General features: G+C 46.4%; 1 annotated feature.

Moving 5' to 3' along the window:
• Positions 10,732-10,791: an enhancer, noted in NCBI's record as "active region_3860". NCBI's record gives its function as "activates an Ori minimal core promoter by ATAC-STARR-seq in GM12878 lymphoblastoid cells {active_cell/tissue: GM12878}" and the evidence as "EXISTENCE:reporter gene assay evidence [ECO:0000049][PMID:35858748]".

Here is a 21,941-nt window from a genome sequence, read left to right as displayed (position 1 = left end):
GAGACATCCACATCCACTGTGGTCCTTCAGGCACGGGTGCATCCATTCACCCATTTACTGAGCATGTGCTGAGTATAAGGCCTTGAGCCATGCTGTGAGCACACAAAGGAAACTAATACTTTTTAGACTCCTACATTTATCCAAGCTCTGGACTGGGTACTTTTCATATATTCTTATTCAATTATTAAGATGCAGTCCTTGACTTAAGGATGGTATTTTAAAAAATATTTGATAATAAGAGAGATATAGAGCTGGCTTAAGAAAAAAAAGAAAAGATTTAAAGGTTCATGGGGGACATAAAAATGTACACAATAATCACAACACATGATAGGCTATTATAAGAAAACAATATGCATATTTGGGGAAGTAAAATGATACTTTCTAGGAGAGGTTTATGTACCAATCCTTCAACTTTAAATAAGTTTCTCCCTATTTTCATAGTGAATCCCCATCTTCTCAGTCATTTACACATTTATTTTTTTCTCCATCTCCCCGAGCCATGTAAGTATCTTGCCCATTGCATGTCAGCAGCATTCATTCAGGCAGAAGATCAAAGCAGTGATATGGACCCAATGTGTCTTGATTTCAGCATGGCATTTGACAAATGCTTTACCTGGTGCCCTTGAGGACATGATGGGGAAATGAGAATTGGGTCAGAGGACAGGAAGTGGAGTCACAGCTGGATGAGCACCACAGTCAAAGCATGTTGATTAGTTTTTTCTGTGTCAACCCAAAGGAGGTCTGTAGGGGCAAGCCATCGGGCTCTGTCCTTGGTGCTGACCTCATTGGCACTGTTACCTGTGACTCAGAAGACGACATACAAGGGGTTCTAATCAAGTCTGCAGCTGACACAAAGCTGGGAAGTATAGTTACCACCACAGATGACAGAATGGAAATAAGAAATGACCTCAACAGGAAGGAACATAGGGCTGAAACCAACATGATGGAATGAAACAAAGAGAAATGCGAAGTCTTACATTTAGGTTAAAAATTAATTGCACAAGTACCGGATGGAGTAGGCCTGGTTTGGCAGCAGTCCATGTGAAAATGACCTATTTGTTTGTTATTCTGTAAGTTGGCCACTAGCTCAGCTTGGTCCAACTGTTTTATGTGGTTGATACATGATACATAAAATGAACACAATCTTGGCCCACAATTAAGGGAAGCAAACGTCTCTGGTCTAGACTACAACATGGCCTCGGTGTGCTTAGAACTGGTTAGTCCTGTCTGGAACACCATGCTCAAACCTGGGCATTATAGGATAAGAAGGATATTGAGAAATTGGAGCATGTCCTGAGAACGGCAGCCAGATGGTGCAGGAGCTGAAAGCCATGCCTATAGAAAGTGTGAGGGAGCTAGGAAACTTGGGTCCAGGAGCACGCAATTCAGGGGAATATGAATGCTTCTGCAAACATGTGAAGGGTTGTTGTGTGGGAACTAGAGTAGATTTCCTCAGAGGATCCTCTAAACCAGCCATTCCCAACCATGTTTATTCACTGGAATCCATGTGACAGATAATGTTCACATACTCAACACATTCCCATGACAGACCCCTGATTTTAGACACCCCCTGCCACTGTATACTTGCAGGAAAGTAAAGAACTTACAGTAATGTGTCATTGTCACAACAAAGTCACATTCATTGTGGAGACTTGGTGGTCTCCAGCAGGGATCTGGTGGCTGAGAAAATGTCACAGCTTCTCTGCCTGCCACCCCATCTGGCATTCTAGGAAGGGCAGAGCCTGACTGGGGTGGGGATAAGTAAATCCACACTGCCCACATACAGCATTCTCTTGGTCTTTGGTGCTTTCATCTACTTCTTGCTGGCAAGTATGGCCTTTCCTCATGTTGAAATGTTAAAAGCCAATAATTGGCTAGACACTTTGGCATGGACGTCAGCAGAGCAGCCCTTTTAGCTGGCCTTGATTCTAGGCTGTCCTCATTGAAGTAAGAGTTCCCCAAGGGGTCCAGGACAGCTCCCCAGCACCCTGCACTGGGGGTTGGGGCCAGTGTCCCCAGAATTATAATGTGTTCCTTTGCCTCACCTTGGTCCCGTTTTATGTCCCTGGGGTCCTCTTAGGGGGAGATGGCAGCATTCCCTTATCAAAGTCCCTGGACAAGGTTTATATAAATCTCCCAGCCATCTCTAATTGTCATGGAACAATTAAGGTCTAACAAGACAGACAGATCTACCTACCTATCAAGGTCTTATTCTGTTTCATTTGTTTGTTTCCCAGCTGGGTTAAGCAAGTTACCTAACCTCTCTTCTCAGTTTCCTTCCTAGGAAAATGAAGCCAATATTGGTTCCCCCTCCAAGGATTAGCGGGAGAGTTACATGAAATAATATGCATAAACTTCTTAGCACATTGCTGGTTACAGAGTCAGCCTCAATATTAGTAAATTGCTGACCCATCCGTCCCTCCTTGATTGCTGACATCCCTGGGCAGAGATAAGGTGTGGATATGCACAGTGCTCATCATGACAGTAACACCACACCCTTCTCTTCTAATCAAGAAGGTGTCCCAGAAGGCAAGTGAGTAAAAGCAATACTACTAGAGGAATAATCCTGAGTCTGAGCAAGTTAATTTAAGAGGTAAATAATTTTAAAATTTAGCCACTTTATTTTTAGGAAAAAATACTGGCAGCACATGTCACAACTGATCACAGTATTGGGCACTGTGACACCAAGACTGAGAGCCCCTGCTTTTGTGTGTGTGTGTGTGTGTGTGTGAGAGAGAGAGAGAGAGAGAGAAACAGACTGAGAGAGGGAAAGATGCAAATTCCTAGGCTTTCACTCCAGGAAATTTTAATTCAGCAGGTCTTAGGGGGTACTAAGCTCCTTGCCCTTTTTTCTAGAATTTTGAAAAGCACAGTTCCAGAAAACAGAACTTAGAGTTATTTTTAGAATCTGAGCATTCTGTAAAGGGTGGCTCAATAAAAAAAAGAGTTTTCTAAAAAGTAGAACTGTCCAGCAGTGGGGCAGACAGGGCATTGAGCTCCCTGTCATTGGAGGTACTCACACAGAAATCTACCAGAGAACCGGGGCAGAGCAGATTGCGGCTATCCCGAGGAAAGCCAGTCCCAGGCTGAGAGCTTGCCTCCCTCTCCCACCGTGGGGGTCTCTGAGCAGCTGGTCGGGATGTCAGTTCTACTAGATGTGAGCCCTCATCCTGCCCAGGGTCAGAACTGAGAAGCAAAACTGTGTCTTGGACAAGATCTCTTTCCTTTCACTGCCTCTTCCAAGTTTGGGCAGCAGGAAGGTGAGTAAAGACTCAAGGTCAAAGACTTAGTCTTTGTGAAGCTGTTCCTAGACTGCCCTAGAGAAGGCTTGGAATATCATTCTGTCAGAGGTGTCTACACTTTAGGAAGAGAACCCCTGATATTGACAAAACCCCAAGAAGCCCCCCTTTAGGAGCTGGCAGTGACTTTACTCTCATATAACCTAGCACTTCAGTATCTACACATCCTCACTGCTTCCACAGTATAGTAGGTGGCTATGAGTGGGGGCTCTGGGCCATGTGGCCCAAAGAAAAGATAATGCAAGCCACCTGTCATTTTAAATTTTCTAGTAGCCATGCTAAAAATCAGACAAAGAAACAGGTGAAGTTAGTTTTAGTAATATATTTTATCTAACTCACTGCATATCCAAAATATTACCTATTTAACATGTAGTCAATATAAAAGTTATTACTGAGCTATTTTACATTCTCTCTTTCTTTTTGAAATAAGTCTTTGAAACTGGGTTTATAATTTACACTTAAAGCATATCCCAATTCAGCCACATTTCAAGGGCTCAATAACCATATCTGGGAAGGAGGCATATTATTGGACAATACAGTTCTGGACCCTAAACGACCCTAAAAATGTCCTACCTTTCCTACTTACTAGCCCATGGCCTCAGTCATGTTTTTTAACTTTTCTTTATCTGATTCTCCTCCTTCATAAATAGTAATGATAATAATAGTGTCTCCATCATAAAGTTGTTATGGGAGTTAAATGAGTTAATATGTATAAAGTATTTAAAATAGTGGCTGGCATATAGCAATTGTTCAGAAATTCAACCCCTCAGCTCTGTTATATACAAAGGGCAGGAGTTTTCATCTCTTTTTTTATGGATAAGATATGAACATTTATTAAGTACCTACAATGTATCAAGCTTGGAGCTAGAGATATGATCTCATTAAATTCCCCAATATCCCAAAGAGGGAAAGATTATTGCCATGTTTTAAGTGATGAGGCTCAGAGAGGTTATCTAACTCATCTGTGCAAGTCTGCACAGTAAGTGTGGCAGAGCAGGGATTCAAACCCAGGTCTCCCGACCCCCAAGCCATGTTCTTTTGCTGAACTATGTAGTCTGAGATGAAAGTGACCTAAGGTCTCACAGCAAATAGTGACAACTCCGGGCCTTAAGTCACTACCTGACTCTTCCAGTGCTCTTCCCCTCCACAAGCCACCTCCCTAAGGTGGAAGTATGACACCGTAACAGGACGAAGAGAACATTTTTGGTAGGCGGACCCTTCCAGGATGCCTTCAAATGACATCTCTTTTGGTGGCTTTCCTGGTCTGCCAATAAAAGTGGGTCTTAGCACCTGAGCTGAAGATAGAGAGAGTGGAAAGAATGGGGGTTATTTGGGTTTCCATCAAAAATAATTCAGAACATTAGGACCCAGTTCTCACCCAGATTCTGCACAGTTTCTATACCCTTGCGTGCTCAATGCTTTGAAAGAAGGAAATGGGTGCTCTGGCCAGAATGACTCTGCAAAAGGATGTGTCCAGGTGCCTATCCCTGGCTGCTCCTTGCCCCAGGACACCCCAGCTCCCAAGCCTGCAGGTGAAGGCAAGCAGAGAAAAGGACCCAAAGAAAAACAGAAGACCCAGGAACCAGGATCCAGTTACAGAAAGAAAAAGGGAGAAAGAGAGATAGTGAGAGCAATTGAGAACAGCTATGCAGCAAAAAGGGCTTTTAGTGATAATTAATAATTAACATTTCTAATGAAGTCCCGGCGACAGGAAGAGGCCAGCACAGGGCTCCGGGGCATGACTGGGGGTGACAGTGACCTCCATGAGGACCAGCAGCCTGAACCTCATTAACCTTCAGGAGCCCCCTACCCCCATGCAGCCAGTGAGCTGCCCACTGCTGAGATGGACATTTTTGTGGCAAATCCAGGAGAAGGGGTAGATGAGGGAGTAATTTCAGGGGGAGAGGCTGTGAGTAAGAGAGGGTTCTAGGGGATTCCTTTTCTGCACAGGCAGATCCAGCTCCTTTGAAAGCCTGGCTTTTCCTTGGTCATGCCAGGTACCTGGATTTCCTTTGGCCAGGCAAGCAGCCTGGAGAAGGCATGTTCCAAGACATAGAACATTCCTACGGAGCAGCAACATGCTAAGAGCTCAAGGAAGAGGGTAAGAGAGCAAAGGCAGGGAATGCCCGTGAAAGTGGGAGCTATCCCAAGCGGGGGCAGGTGCAGCCAAGCAGAGAGCCCTAGAGACTGGCTACACAGTTATGCTTGTAATGGTGGTGGGCAGAGTGGGTGGTGGTTGTTGTGGACTGAATGTTTGTGTCTCCCCCAAAATTTACATGTTGAAGCCCTAACCCCCAATGTGACTGGAGAGAAGCCCTTTACAGAAGGAGCTATAGTTAAATGAAGTCATAAGTCTGAGGCCCTGATCCACCTTATTAGAGGAGGGGACACCAGGGGTCCTTTTATCCTTTGTGAGCAAGAGGAAAGGCCATGTGAGGGCACAGCAAGAAGGCCACCATCTACAACCAGGAAGAGAGCCCCCACCAGGAACTGAATCAGCCAGAACCTTGATCTTGAGCTTCCCAGCCTCCAGAACTGTGGGAAAATAAATTTCTAATTTTAGGCCCTCCAGTCGATGGTATTTTTAATGGCAGCCTGAGCTGACTAATACAGTGTTAGTCAAAGTGATCATGGTAATTGAAAGGGTATTAACAGGCTCTGGGGTGACCAGCCATCCCAGTTTATCTGGAATGGAGGGTTTTCCTGGGATGCAAGGCTTTCAGTGCTAAAATCAGGACAGTTCCAGGCAGACTGGGATGGCCAGCTAGTAGTAGTAGTAATTGCAGCAGTGGAGGTGATCTAATAATTAGCCGACGCTTTATATTCTACATCTATTCTGTGTATGCGTTATTCACTTTTAAGCTACCTCATTCCCAAAGTGGGATGTTTTTGCCCTTAGACATATACAGTGCTTTACAGATACAAAGCATTTTCACAAACACATCTGCCCCACGACTTGAGCAAGTTCTTCTCTAGCCAAACTCAAGCCTGGCCGATTTTACTCTGAAGGCCAGTGTGGACTCAGCCAGCTGAAGGGAGTCCTCTCCTGCCAAGGCCCATGGCCCTCAGGAACCCTGGCTCCCTCACTGTGAGCCAAGTGGATGCCCAAAGCTCCACCCCTGGAGCTTCTGATTCCTGTGAGCTGGGGCGAGGCCTGGGCTTTGGCAGGGTTCAGAAACTTTCCAGGGGATTCTGAGAACGGACAGTGTGCAAAGTGCCCAACAATAGCTCTACCGGCTGCTGCTTAGGTCAATTTGCTGTAAGTTTTCATTTTGGTACAATGTTAATCTTACAGAAAACTTTCAAGAACTGTACAAAAGAACTCTTGTATTCCCTTTACACCAATCCACCAATGGTTCTCATCTTAACCATTTGCTTAATAATTTTCTTGTGTTTATTTTTATCTAAAAAAAAACATGAAGTAAGCTTTCCTAGTGGGTATGATACAGACTGATAGCAGGACATATATAATATATATTATATAACAAATGCATACATATATTGGGAGACATCCATATATTTGGTGCCCAGCGAATGCACATTGACAGAGATGTGCCACCATAACCTTTGGTGGCAAATTTCATGATCATTTGGAGATGGAGATAAAGGAGGATTGACTGGGACGAGGGACAGAAAAGAAGTTTTGGGGGTGATGAAAACATTCTATATCCCGATTGCGGTTGTGGTTACACAAATGCATACATTTACCAAAACTAATTTGTCTGAATGTACAATTACAATAGGTACATATTATTACATATGATTGCATATAATTTATAATTTGATAAAGTTGATTTTTTAAAAATGTAACTTTTTTTGAAGTGTAGTGGCTTGTTCTAAAGAATCCAGCAGAGGAAAACTGATGCCTGAGGAAGTATGGATTTTATGCCCTGAATTATCATACATTTGTATGGCATTTATTATATGTCAGGCTCTGTTCTAAGCATTTTGCAAGAACGAACTCATGTAATTCTCACAAGCCTATGGTGTAAAGGCATCACAGGCCCCACTTTAGAGATCAGGAAGAGAGGTTAGCTATTGGCCCAAGGTGGCACAGCCAGGAAGTAGAACAACATGACTCTAAACCCTAGCAGGGAGGCACCAGTGCCCCTGCTCTCAGGCACTATGCTAAGTTAGTTCTTTCCATGATAGCCAGAGACCAGGCTCTGCCTTACCGTGCACCACTGCCCCATGGCAGAAGAGCCCCCTGAACTCCAGGGACCAGCCAGTGGACAGAGGGAAGCTGACTGTCCTTGAGGCCTCGCTGTTGAGTACCCAGACCACCAGACTCTCCTCTGCTTCCTGCTTCCCTCCATCCTTGACTCACCAGCTCTGCCAGTCCATCTCTGGAGCTTTCCAACTGCCCAATTTTAGGAGGCATCCAGAGGTGCCATATAGCCTCGCACTGGAAACAGAGTTGGTTGTCTGAACCACTCTGTCTGTCCCTGAGAGATATTAACAGAAAATAAATATCAGCATGTGACATCCTGAAGTTCTGTGTTCCCGGGAGCCAGTACTGGTTTCCTCATATTCCATGTGCTTCCTGTAAGTCAGGGGTCTGTGGCGGGAGAGCACGGAACCAGATCTCAGGCATGGACTTTGCTACTGATTTGCTGTGAGATGTAGGGCTTCTCTTCCCTTCTCTGAGTCTCAGATTTCTCACCCCAAATAATGGGAGGTTAGCCCAGATGTGAGGTTCTTGGCCTGTGGATTGCTAGGAAGTCCACAAATAGGCTTCAAATGTTCTAGGAATCCCCAGCATTTGTATGCATAGTGTTTTGTGTATTTAGATAAAGGAGTCCATATCTCATTTGATTTTCAAAGGGATCACTTTCCCTCTAAAATTTCACATCACTTGCCTGCCAAAGTCTTTTCTAGTTCTAAAATTTGAAGACTTTATGTCTTAATCTAAGTCTTTGCATTGCATATCAGCCTGGAAGCTTCATTTACAGAGAATGGCAAAGGAGACCCAAGGCATCAGTGTTAGAGTCAGAGCTAGCACGTGGTGTCTCCTGACTTATTCATTTATTCAGCATATATCCATTGTAATAAGCATATTTCATTCGAATGATAACTTTTGACCATAGTCCCACATGTGCCAAGAGCCTCTACAATGACCCAGGGCCTAACACAGGACCTAGTGCATAGTAGGAACTCTATAAATATTTGATGAATAAAATAATAATTAGGGTGAGGGCCTTAGGCCTGTAATCCTACCATTTTGGGAGGCTGAGGTGGGCAGATCACTTGAGCCTGGGAGTTTGAGACCAGACTGGCCAACATGGTGAAGCTCCCTCTCTACAAAAAGTCCAAAAAAAAAAAAATAGCTGGGCATGGTGGTGCATGCCTGTAGTCCCAGCTACTCAGGAGGCTGAGATGGGAGGATCACCTGAGCCCAGGCAGGTCAAGGCTGCAGTGAGCTGTGATCACGCCACTGCACTCCAGCAAAGGTGACAGAGCAAGACCATGTCTCAAATAATAAAAATGATGAATTGGGAAGCCAACTAATTGTGGGAGTGGAAATAGAGGAGGAAAGGCAGAACCCCAAATCAGGAGATCCAACTTTTATTTTCATCTTGGCTACACACAAAGCCTCTTCTCCTCTGGCCTCTCTTTTTCCACCATAAACTGAGGGAACTGGACTAGCTAAACTCCAGGGCCTCTTCTAGATTTAAGATTCCGGGATGTCAAGACACCTCTGGCTGCTTAGATAGAGTGCTGAGAAAGAGCAGTCCCCAAGAGTTCCCCATGCCAGGGAGATCTCTCGCTAGTGTATTAGTTATCTATTGTTGCATAACAAATTAGCTTAAATTCAGCAGCTTAAAACAACACATATTTATTATCTCATACAATTTCTGAGGGTTGTGAATCTGAGAGTGGCTTAGCTGGGTAGTTCTGGCTCAGTCTCTCTCATGAAGTTGAAGTCAAGATGTCAGCCAGGGCTGCAGTTATCAGGCTAAACTGGGACTGGAGCCTAGGCCTCCAGGCTCACTCACATGACTGTTGGCTGTTGGCCTCAGCTCCTTACCACGTGGGCCTCTCCATAGTGATGCTCATGACATGGCAGCTACCTCCCCCGAGAGCAAGTGATCTGAGAGAGAAAGCTGCCAGGATGAAAGCTGCAACGACTTTTTATAACTTAACCCAGGAAGTGACATGCTATCACCTATTTTATTAGCTATACAAACCGACCCTGGTATAATGTAGGAGGGGCCTGTATAATGTGTGAATATCAGAAAGTGGGAATCTGGGGCAGCTGGCTACCACATCCAGGCTGAAGTCAAATCTCTTGAGGCTGTCATTTAGATAAGGCCACTATTCATACTTTTCCGTGGGCAGGGGTCCCAGTGGGAAGAACTTGTGCATGAGCCAGCCAGTATCATCAGTGAAATGTTCTGCCTGCTCCTTTTCAAAACAAGCCCAGGAATTCTATAGGGCTCCTTGCTGAAGCACCAATGCCTGGTGCAGCCCTGCAAAGAGCAAGGGCAAAGATATGCGGGGGCTCAGCAGGGACCACCTTAATAACCCGGCAAAACCTCAATTACCCAAAGCAACGTGAGCCAGGGCCCTCATTTAATCAGATTTCTTGATTTAACTATCCCACACTGATAAATAAATCTATACACTGTGGTTGATGATAGACAAATAGCAGGCAAATATGTTGCCGTTAAAGATTTTTAAAACCCCTTCAAGGGTCTCTATCTGTAAATTTGCATGTTCTCTGCAGCTAAAATAATTGCAAGATACTGCAAGAACCAGACGTATCAATGGCCTAACCATGGCCTTCATTTTTCTTGCTAAGGCAGGAAAGCAAAAGAAAACATTTTAGGAAGTTTTTTAAAATTTAAAAACATTTCTAACAAAGCAGCCTTTCTGCAGAACTTCCATCTAATTAGGAAATTAAATTAACCAGACCATTTCACTTCCTCAGTAAAAGCGATTGAATTTCTTGTGGCAACTCTGACCCCTTTCACCATTTCCCCGACATATCTGGCACTTCCCCACCCACACTGCCTTTCATCCACCCTCAGCCTGGAATTCCTGGTGAGCCCAGAGTTGGAATGAGAAGAAATGGATTCCACTCTCTATTCCATCACTGCACGTAGGGTGTTTGGGCTTTCTGAGCTCCCTTTCCTCACTCATAAAAGGAGGCATTTAAAGTACGTGATTCTTCAGTTCTCTTTACCCCTAACACTCTAAGTTGTGTGATCCCCACCATCATCACTTTCTGAAATCTGACTGCTTTTTCAGGATGCAGGTAAAGTGCTATATTCACTATGGAGCCTCCCTTATCTCTGTGGACAGAAGTAGTTTCTCTTCTCTCTGCAATCCCACAATTAAGTAAATAGAGGTAAACACATGATTTTATGGATTATGTAAAATATTTACTCACATTTTTGTCTCTCCTAGCAGACTCTATGCTCTTTGAGGACAGCTGCCTGACCCTTCTCATCTTGATATCCGTTAGCACTGCACCCAGCACATGGTAGGTGTTCACACCTGTGGTTTGGAGGGAGCCCAAAAACCAGGTTTGTGATTTTTGCAGCACACCGATGTATTGGCTGCCCTCAGCCAGCAGGGGGAGCACATTTGCTCCTTAAATGAAGCCGCCAGCTCTGAACTGTGACACCCTCTGAAGAGCTGATGAATGGATTTACCTCGGAGGGTGAGACGGGCCCAGAGGACTAGGGTGAGGGCAGGGGTGAGGACAGATCTGCTACTTCTGACTAAGAAGCCACCACTTATTTGGTAAACAATAACATCCCAGGAACAGAGAGCACCCTCATGAGAAATTCAGAGCACTTCCTATCTCTAAGGCCAGGAAAGTGCATGAAGTTATAATAGGGATACAGTCTTGATTAAACACTGTGTAACTTGGGGAATTAAGTCTATGATAAATTGGGAGATAGGGACCTGCAGCCTCATTTCTTTTAAGGATATTTAATTACAAAATTCTGTAACGAAATTACAGCCTTATTAAAATGGTTTCTCACTGAAGAGAGGGTCTCGAAAGGTGAGACGATGCCAATAGGAGAGGGGCTGTAGGGTTTTCCAAGCACTCTCCCTGTGCCACTGCATTCTGATCAGAGACTAGAAAGTGGGGATAAGGCACCTCCCTTTGAAAATCAGCCCGCTGGAGAGGTTGGTCTCTCTCTCTCTCTCTCTCTCTCTCTCTCTCTCTCTCTCTCTCTCTCCACCTTTCCCCATGAGACTGCCACCATGAAGCCTGGACTGCCAGGCAGCTAGGATCCTATTAGAGACAGCTGTCTGGTGGAGAAACTAGCTTCTCTTTAAAATGACAGACACTTGTTAGTGATAGACATCTTGTTAATCACTCACACCTTAGTATGAATTACACCAATCAGCTGTTAGGGTTTCCTCCACCAGAATAGGTTGGGGATTGTTTAATCTGAGAATGGTAAATTTGGTTGCAGATTAGAGGTCACAGTTTTGGAGCACGAGATACTCTGGGAGGGAGGCCAGAGTGATGAGCCTTTGTGGGAGGGCTTTGGGCGACCAGAAAGTGATATGATGGATATGGAGCAGAAGAGGGGGCACAAAGAGGCAGGTAGCTATGCTGAGACCCATACTGATTGCAACTGCCCCTGGGGTTTTTAGAGATCCTGCTGATCACCAGCCAGTGTATCAGACCATGTGCCCTGATTTTTAATTAAGAAAATACAGCCCCTTGGTTTACCTAGCAAGTTAACACCTTCTCCGCCATATAGAGGCAGAAGCATGTTGATCCTGGCGGTTCAGCCATTGGGATACTCGTTTCATCTGTCCGAGATTGAGACCCAATATCCTCAAGCAGAAAATAGGGAGAGTCATCTTACACTCCTCATAGGTGATATGCTTGTAAGTATCTTACTGTGCCCAGTGCAGAATGAGCCCTCGGAAAGGTCATTGATTGTTGCTGTTGCTGCTGCTGCTGCTGTTGCTGTTTTGCTGCTGTTATTGCCACTACTGTTGTTGCTATTGTTGTTGCTGCTGCTGTTGCTGCTGTTGCTGTTGTTGTTGCTGCTGTTGTTGCTGCTGTTGCTGCTGCTGTTGTTGTTGCTGCTGCTATTGCTGTTGTCGCTGCTATTGCTGCTGTTGTTGCTGCTATTGCTGCTGTTGTTGCTGCTGTCGCTGCTGCTGTTGTTGCTGCTGTCGCTGCTGCTGTTGACACTACTGTTGTTGCTGTTGCTGCTGTTTTGCTGCTGTTGTTGCCGCTACTGTTGCTGTTGTCGCTACCGTCGTTGCTACTGTTTTTGCTGTTGCTGCTGCTGCTGTTATTGCTATTGTTGTTGTTAGCGTACAGCACATGCATGGCCTTCAATGAATACTGTGTGGCATAATTACAGAATCATTCAGTGTCCTGTGGGGTCAGCCTACAACGCAAGTTCTACTGCTCATTACTTACATCAAGGGCAGCTTTCACCCCCGAGCTGCCTAACTGGGAGCCAGAAGATAGTGTTGAAATAAACCAGGAAATCCGACAACCCAGCTGACATCTCTCTTTCCCAGTCACTGTGTGGATCAAAGTCATGCTCCATAGAAGGTGAGTGCTACTTCTAGGAATCAGATATTCTGGAGCAGCAGGTACAGGTGGTTTTCAAGTGGCCAGATGCCTTGTGGCAAAGTAGAAAGTGTGCTGGCTTGAGTGTCATGGTCCAGCTATGTGACTTTAGACATGTCACTTAGCCTCCTATTTTTTTTTTCCTCATAGGCAAAATAGAGACTATGCTAGCAGGGCTGCTATGAAGAAGTGATGCCACTGTGCTCAGTTCAGTGCCTGACTGAGAGAAGGAACTCGATAAACTTTAGCCTCCTTTCCTCCAGACCTTCCTCCTGCTTCTACTCCCAAATAAAGGGCTAGAGCATCAGAACTGCAGGGAATGTGAAAGATCATCCAGCTCAGTTTTATCTTTCCAGATTAAGTAGGGACATACAGTGGGAAAGTGGCGGCCCAGATGAGAGGCCAGGTTGCCCAGTTCCTCACCCGGTGGTCACCCTGGCACCACTCTGCCACCACATCACAGTCATGGCACTGTCAGCTCAGAGCTAAATTCTCCTGGCATTATTTAACTGGGATTGTGGCTGTCTTCATTCTCTGAAATTACGTCAACTAAGCTTTAATGACCATTAGCTACTGTGGTTTTTCCTTTCTGAGGCCGCTCATGTCTTTGGCTAGGAACTCATCTCTGTAAGCATTTGTACTCTGCTCCTGTTTTCAGCAGATCTTAAATATTGTGCCTGGGTCTGAGCTTCTCCTTACAAGTGCAGGATTCTAAATTCAAATTCACGAGCCAGTGTCTGTTTTCTGGAGCACATCCAAGTGTGGGTGAGTGAGAACGGGCAGTTTATAATCCTGAGATGCTAATCTACCTTGCCAGGTTCTGAATGTGGTGGAGGAAGTAATAAACTTGGAAAACAGAATAGGTTCCAGGCCTGAATGACCAATTAAACCTCTTTTTAAATGGCCAAGAGCAATATCTATAAGATACAAGCTAATTACAAGAATTAACAACAACCACTACCAAAAAAACCCAGACTCTTCAGCTATATCAAATACCAAGGACCAGAAATGCAAGCCATCTTATATTTGTAATATCTATATTCCTAGCTCTGGCCTCCCTTCACCTCTGGTCCTGGATACAAAGAGGTGGGGTCCAAAGAAGAAGGAGGCAAGGATGATACCAACAATGGGAGGAATGAGAAGGCCCCTGAGTTGTTAGTAGATGGATAAAATACCAGTCATGGGACCTTTTCTCTCCTGTCGCCTTCCTTCTGATCGTTCATCCAGTACACATTTATGGAGCAACTACTAGGCAAGCAGTAGGGTAGGCACTGAGACTCAGCATGGAGCTGACCTTCCCAGTGGGGAATACAGAAAACAGACAAGCAAACAAACAAGATACTTTCAGAGAATGCTAAGCCCTCAGAAGGACATGCAGATAGGTAATGGGATAGTGAGGAACTGGGTTTGGGCAGGGACAACTTAGATGGATGGTTGGAATGGCATCTTTGAGGATGTGACCCATATGAGCTGAGATCTGTAGGACGAGTAACCAGCCACAGGCAAATCTGGGAGAACGTTCCAGACAGAGGGCACAGAAAGTGCAAAGAAGACCACTTGCTGTGCCTTCTGCCTGGAACATTCTCCTTGTGTGAGAGCCCAAAGAAGAGAGGGATGGTCGGAGTGGCTGCGGCTCAGTGAGCAGGACTGGGGGATGGGCCATGGCCTGATGGGGTAAGGCTGGGGAGGTAAGATAAGGAGTAGTTAAGTAGAAGCAGGACCTAGAGTCAGAGAAATCTGGATTTGAAGCCCAGCTTAAAGAGTTATAGACCGGGCACGGTGGCTCACACCTGGAATCCCAGCACTTTGGGAGGCCAAGACAGGCAGATCACTTGAGGTCAAGAGTTCAAGGCCAGCCTGGCCAGTGTGGTGAAACCCTGTCTCTACTAAAAACCAAAAATTTGCCAGATGTGGTGGTGCGTGCCTGTAATCCCAGCTACTTGGGAGGCTGAGGCACAAAAATCACTTAAACCTGGGAGGCAGAGGTTGCAGTGAGCCAAGATCTCGCCACTGCATTCCAGCTTGGGCAACAGAGAGAGATTCCATCTCAAAAAAATAAAAATAAAAATAAAAAAATAATTATTAACAGTGTGACCTTGAACTGGTTACTTTGCCTCTGAGCCTCAGCTTCCTCATCTTTGAAATGGAGCCAAAGAGAATAGGACCAACCTCACTTGGTTAATGCAAAGAATAAATGAGAGGGAGCCCTTTAAAGTACTTAGCAGAGCACCTGGCACACAGTCAGTGGCCATAAACTCCAACGTCTACTCTTCCAGACTCACCACTGACACCCAAGGCCACTGATCGCAGGCTGGGGTCAATTTCAGTCACCACCACCAAGAAAGCCACCAGGTGGCGGTCTTTCAAGCTTTTCTGGCTTAAGCGTGGTCAAGACTGTTTGAGCTTGTTTTCACCCAGTAGGAAAGTGCAAAAACAAATCCTCCAAAGACTAGGTGGGTATAGGGCCACTGGAAACATACAGGGAATATTTTCCGGCTTCAGCAACAAAATGTAGTGAAAAGAACACCAGCTAAGAGGCAGACCTGGGTTCCCGTGTCCACTTTGCCTGTAGATGAATTGAGCTTGGTAATAATGCATTTGAGCCTTGTGGTCTAGATTTCCCCATCAACCTACACCATGGTATTGCTGTGAGGCCCCGAGGAGGCACTACATGCAGAATGGCTGAAGAATACCTTTCTAGAGTGTGCTTGAGTGACAGTCCCAGCTTTGCCACTTACTTGCTGTTTACTTACCCTGAGCTTTTTCACCTATAAAATGGGCATAAGAACAGAATCACAGGCTTGTTAGGACGATGAAAACAGTTAAGCACTTGAACAGCTCTGAGCACCTGAACGTACAGTCTCAGTGTGTGCTGCCATTATCTGTAAAGTGCCATTAGGCAGATTGGCTGTGACCACAGGCTGCCCTGGCTTTGGTTGAGGTGGCTGCTGGGAAGCTGCAGAGAAAGAAGGTGAATGTTTGACTGAGGATGAAGATGAGACAACTACGAATAAGCAGAGAGGGGGGAGTTCCACTTGCAGATGGGGAGTGAAGGTGCACAGTAACCAAGGAAGTGTCTCCTGCCCCCACAGTGCCTTGGCAAGGAAGCTCACAGGATGTGGGAAGAAGGGGCATCACTTGGTAGCCACGTCTCCAGCCCATTTCTATTCCTTCTGTCTCTCTCACTCTCTCCCTCTCTCTTTCCACCCCCTCTCTTTTTGAGACAGGGTCTCACTCTGTTGCCCAGGCTGGAGTGCAGCGGCATGATCATGGCTCACCACAGCCTGGACCTCCTGGGCTCAAGCAATCCTCCCACCTCAACCTCCCAAGTAGCTGGGACCACAGGCATGCACCATCACCCTGGATAACTGTGTGTGTGTGTGTGTGTGTGTGTGTGTGTGTGTGTGTAGAGATGGGGGTCTTCCTATGTTGCCCAGGCTAGTCTCAAACTCCTGGGCTCAAGCAATCCTCCTACCTCTTCCTCTCAAAGCAAGTAAGTGGCAAAGCTGGGACTATCACTCAAGCATACTCTAGACAGGTATTCTCCAGCCATTCCACATGCAGTGCCTCATCTGGGCCTCACAGCAATACCGTGCTGGGATTACAGTCACGAGCCACCTTGCCCGGCCCTATTCCTTACCTCTTTCAGCACAATGTGGGCGCCAATTTCCTGCTGTATGGTAAGCTCCTTGAAGGCAGAGGTTGTATTTATCTTTGTTTTCCCACCAGCCTAACACAGAGCCCACACCTAACAAGCCCTGGACAAATGCTTGTTGGTGAGCAATCCATTCTGGGCTACCCAGTGCACTGATCACATCTCAGATAACCTAGGGCTCTGCACTGAGCTGTGACTCCACCAGCTCAGCCACGGGATTGGATGCTCTGCCTGTGACCTGAGGATGTTAGTTACTCTGTGCCAATGCCCTTACCTATAAACGTGTGCAGACCGTGTCCTAATCACAGGCAGGAGAAAAGGCACAGGCACCAGCTGGCTTTCCTGGGTTTCCCATTTTCCTGTGACCTGCCCCTCCTGCCTGGAAATCTCTCAGGAGGATGGCACATGGTGGTGAGTGCTGTGTAATTGCTTAATGGCAGGAATGGGTGTAGGAGGAATTGCAGAGATATGGGAAGGGCAGCAGGCATGACAGAAAGGCACAGCTTGCCAAGAAAGACACCGCATACCTAGCTCTGCTTTGCCCCATGAGAACTTTGGGAGGTGGTGGGAGTCACCGCGTCTTTCTATTTCCTCTTCTCCACAATACGGGAAATACAAATACCCACTTCTTTGTCAAAAAGGGCACAGTGCCTGGCACACAGAAAGTGCTTAAATGCTTGTTGAATATATCAATAAGATGTTGTGTGAAACAATGCTTTGTAAATACTAAAGCAGCACTGTTAAAACTTTTTACTAAAGTACTCTAAGCGCAAAAGAAAAGGTTACACGTATCCCCACAAGGTTGGGGGAGGCTGAAAATCTCACCCAACAGGAAGCCTGGAAGATCTTTTCAAGGCTCACACTTTGTTTAAAATATGCTCACACAGTTTTGCATTCAGCTCCATGATATATGCAGATTTATTCAAATCATAATTAGATATTTTTATTTCTTTTCGTTTTTTTTTTTTTGTTTTTTTTTTGAGTCGGAATCTTACTCTGTCACCCAGGCTGGAGTGCAGTGGCACAATCTCGGCTCACTGTAACCTCCGCTTCCTGGGTTCAAGCAATTCTCCTGCCTCGGCCTCCCAAACAGCTGGGACTACAGGCATGCACCGCCGTGCCCGGCTACTTTTTTGTATTTTTAGTAGAGATGGGGTTTCACCATGTTGGCCAGGCTAGTCTTGAACTCCTGACCTCAGGTGATCCGCCCACCTTGACCTCCCAAAGTGCTGGGATTACAGGTGTGAGCAACCACGGCTGGCCAGATATTTTTATTTCTTACCAGTTAAATTACCTACCACTCTTCCTCTTTCTCCCCACCCCGGCAAAGGGGGTCGTCTAGTAAAAGAGGATCTTCCAGGAAGCAGGAAGATGTGGCACTTCTCTCTGGGGTATTTTGTGTTCCCAGAATACTTCCAGCATTCTTGTTTAACAAGCATTGTGAAAGACTTCTCTTCAGATTTAGTTATTTGTGTTTAATATTTTACACTTGATCTCAGCCAAAAGACCAAGAAGCGATGTCTGTTTAATATTTTGATGGCCAGCCTCCGTACCTTGCTTTACTCAGAGAAAAATAATTGGCTTTTGTCCATTTGGTCCAATCAATGCGAGGGTCCAGAATGCACCCCTTCCCACCCCTTCCTTCCACGCTGCGGCGCCCACAGCCCCGCCGGCAGCGGTTGCACACGTCCGAGAACAAACAGCCTGCCGGGCTCTCCACCAGGAACCGGGAACTCGACAGCCTGTTGCGACTCCTCGTGCTGTCTGCCCCTCTGACCTCTGGCCTCCCTGGGGCCTGCTCTCTCCTCCCAGCCCCGCCCCGCCTTGCCTTTGAGTTCCCACCTGCCTCCCGCGGTAGAGGTGTCAGGTCAGGTCTGCTGCATCCTGAGCCCTCCTCCTGCTGCCTGTGCCCTCACCTGCACACACAGCCTTCAGCCCCGCATCCTGCTGGAAAGCAAATAGCGCTCCAGCTCTTAGAGACCTCCAGGGGAGCAGTTTCTACAACCTCTGCAGGAATCTCGTTCTAACATCTCTCAACTCTCACACAGAAAAAGGCCTTCTTTTCATGAAATCTCAATTCCTTTCTGTTGCAATGAGCATGGAGTTGCTTTTATTCTCTGCTAGTTTGAGCTATACTTAAACAAGCCTAATTCCTCATGATATTCTCCCTGCCTCACCAAAGGATGGAATATTGGCTTCACTTCTGCTCAGCCCTCATCTATGGTGCGTACAGGCCTGAGTCTAGGCTGGGATCCTGCCTCTGGGGTGTGAACAGAGCAACACTGAAGCAGCGAGGACCCTTTACCATGGAGGCAGGGCTGAGCCAAGGGTAGCCCTGAGCTCTTTTGGGTGCCTGGAAGTAAATAACTGACACTGACTAAGGGCCTCTTGTGGGCCAGACCTTGAAGAGGTTTATGGGAAATATAAAACCAGGTCTCTACCTTCAATAATAGCATCATAAAAGAATCACTTACTGACTCAACTCTGTGGACAGTGGAGAATGCACTGATTTTGGCCCAAGAGACTTACATTTGCATCCCAGCTGTGTCTTTGTTTGTTTGTTTGTTTGTTTGTAGATGGAGTCTCTCTCTGTTGACCCAGCTGGAGTGCAACGATGCGATCTCAGCTCACTGCAATCTCCACCTCCTGGGTTCAAGCAATTCTCCTGCCTCAGCCTCCCAAGTAGCTGGGATTACGGCACCCGCCACCATGCCCAGCTAATTTTTGTATTTGTAGTAGAGACGGGGTTTTGCCATGTTGGCTAGGCTGGTCTCAAACTCCTGACCTCAGGTAATCCACTGGCCTTGGCCTCCAAAAGTGCTGGAATTACAGGCGTGAGCCACCGCGCCCGGCTCCAGCTCTGCCTTTTATTAGCTGTGCTATTTTGGGCAAGACACTACACCTCTCTGAGCCTTCATTTATGTGTCTATCTCACAGGTGTTAATGAGGATTTTTTTTTATTCTATAAAGTGCTACACAATTAAAGGATTATCATAGATTGGGTGGGAAGAATATGAAGGCGGGGCTCTACATGTCTGCAATAGGAGAAATGCACATGTGATGTGCTAAAGGGCTTGGAGGAAGAGAAAAGGATGAAAATGAGTGGCATTTCACAGGAATGACAGGCAGAAGGAGGTGACAGTTGGGCACAGAGACAGGGGAAAAAGAAGGGAAGAAGGATGATAGCTATCATTTATGGAATGCTCACTATGTGCCAGGCGTTCGGCTAAGGGCTTTGCGTACATTATCTCACGTATTCCTTATGAAATCCCCGTCATGAGGTTTTATTATCCTCATTTTACCCTTGCATATGGTAGGTCATAACATACCTCCATACCCTCAAGCTGAACCCATGAGATATACATCCTATCTATAATGGAATTTGGTGCCAAGATGAGGATACAGCTTTATAAAAAATCAGAGAAGAACCAAGCAAGAGATGCAGAGATAGGTGGTCAGGGCAGAGGGTTTTCCACAAACCCTGGTTAATGACATCAGAAGAGTAATCAGAAATGATTGCCCTTACAAACTTCAAACATGGATTCCTTTTTCCAGATGCCATCGGTTTTTGTCCACCTTGTTAGCCCTCCACTTCTATCTACTTCCTGGATGGCCCATTTCCTTACTCTTCTCTTTCTCTTATGTCCCCTTTCTCTCTTCTTTACCCTTCTCTTTCTCTTATGTCCCCTTTCTCTCTCTCTCTTTCTCCCCGCCCCCCTCCTCCACCCCTCCTCACACATGCACACACACACAGGCTCAATTACCTTTTCCATCTTCTTTTGTGTCAATGTCTGACTCTATGGATGACAAGCTCTCCATGCTCGGTTTAGACACTGAAAACAGGCTATAGCTACAGACACTCTTCCCACCCGACTTTGCTCCCTCTCCCGACATCCTCCCTTCCCTTTCTCTCTTCTCTTGATTCTTCCCCTCCTTTTATTTACTCCTTCCTGTTCCCCTTCCTCTTCTGTTCACTTTTCACCCATTTATCTCTCTTCCCTTAGGATGGAAACTGACGAGGGCATCCCTAGCTCAGGAGCTCCCTGGCATTTGCTGCTAGTAAATGTATGCTACCACCACCCAACTGCTGACAGGGTTTTTCTTTTCTTTTCTTTTTTAAACCATGACCATGAGCTCATGTCTGTCAGAAACCTGGCTGGGTTGGCAGCTGGATATGCCAGACCAGGAAGGGCTGGAACCCAAAACAGGACCTGTCCACCAAGGCAGGGCCAGGGTCTGGGGAGGTCCTGGGAGCTGGAGGCAGAAGTGAGGCCAGGTTGGGGGCATGTTAAAGGAAGCTGGCATGAGGCAGTTGGCAGAGGTTCAAGAGGGCAGTTGATGCCTGGAATGTGGGGCAGCAGGTGTTAAAGACTCAGTCACAGGGAAGAAAGGAAAGCATCCAGAGCCCAGAATCCTAGGCCCTGAGGTCCTGGGTCATGGGGTAGGGCAGCAGGAGGTGAGAATGGATGGAGACCCAGTGACTGGAGCTGGGGGTACCAGCAGGAGCTCTCTCAGAAGAAAAAGGTAACAGTGGGGTCCTAGGACCTGAGAAGAAAGGTAGAGCAGGACCAAGGTCAGCAACAATGATAAAGATCCAAGATGAAGCTTCCCTGCTGTTGACTTGGACTCCAGGGAGCCTGTTTATCATGAAGACTGCTGGCTGAGCATCTCAAGCAGGAGTAGAGAGCTGTGTGGTCAGCGGCCCACCATGGCTTTCCTTTTCCCATCTCCCTCCCTGCATCACATTCTTAACCAGCCCCTCAGATTGCAGAGCCACCCCCACGACAGTGTGGGAAAACCCCGTAGCTCACTGGACACATAGGCAGGTAAGTTCCTGGAACCCAAGCCATTTTGGCACAGGTTAACATGATAAGCAGACACCTGCTTGCATCGTTACCTCCAGGCTTCCCCCTGCCCCACAGCCTCGAAAGTTTCTAACCAGACTTCCCCAGGATTCCATCATGTCCTCCTTCTTCCAGCATCCCTTTCCTGGGGCTGCTCTGCCTGCAGAGTTTCCCTGCAGCATGCGCTCACAGCTCAAGGTCTTCTGAACAAACTCTCTGGCCATCTGGAAGACTCCTTTCTGCATCTGTGATGGCTCTGGCTCTGGCCCTGACTGAACCATCCCCCAGGGTTTGTGGCTTCTCTAAAAGAGTTCCTGTCCAACTTTACCCCTAACCTACCTCCCCTTGAAAGTCCATCCTATGCATCTGCCTCTTACAAGCCACAAGTGCATCTGAAACCCAACGGCCATGTGATAAATGTGTACTCCTTGGGAAAAAGGGACGACCCCTCCATACGACTTGGTTTGAGAAGGGGTTATTTCCTCATACCCCCTTTAGCTCCTCATTTCTTTCACAGTTTGTGGTTTCCCATTTTCAACTATTGCTGTTTTTCCACCCCCTTACAAAAAGATTCATTTCTT

The sequence above is a fragment of the Homo sapiens genome, chromosome 10 (assembly GCF_000001405.40).
Source record: "Homo sapiens chromosome 10, GRCh38.p14 Primary Assembly".
In the NCBI taxonomy this organism is placed as follows: Eukaryota; Metazoa; Chordata; class Mammalia; order Primates; family Hominidae; genus Homo; species Homo sapiens.
This window is presented reverse-complemented; position numbering and strand designations above follow the sequence as displayed.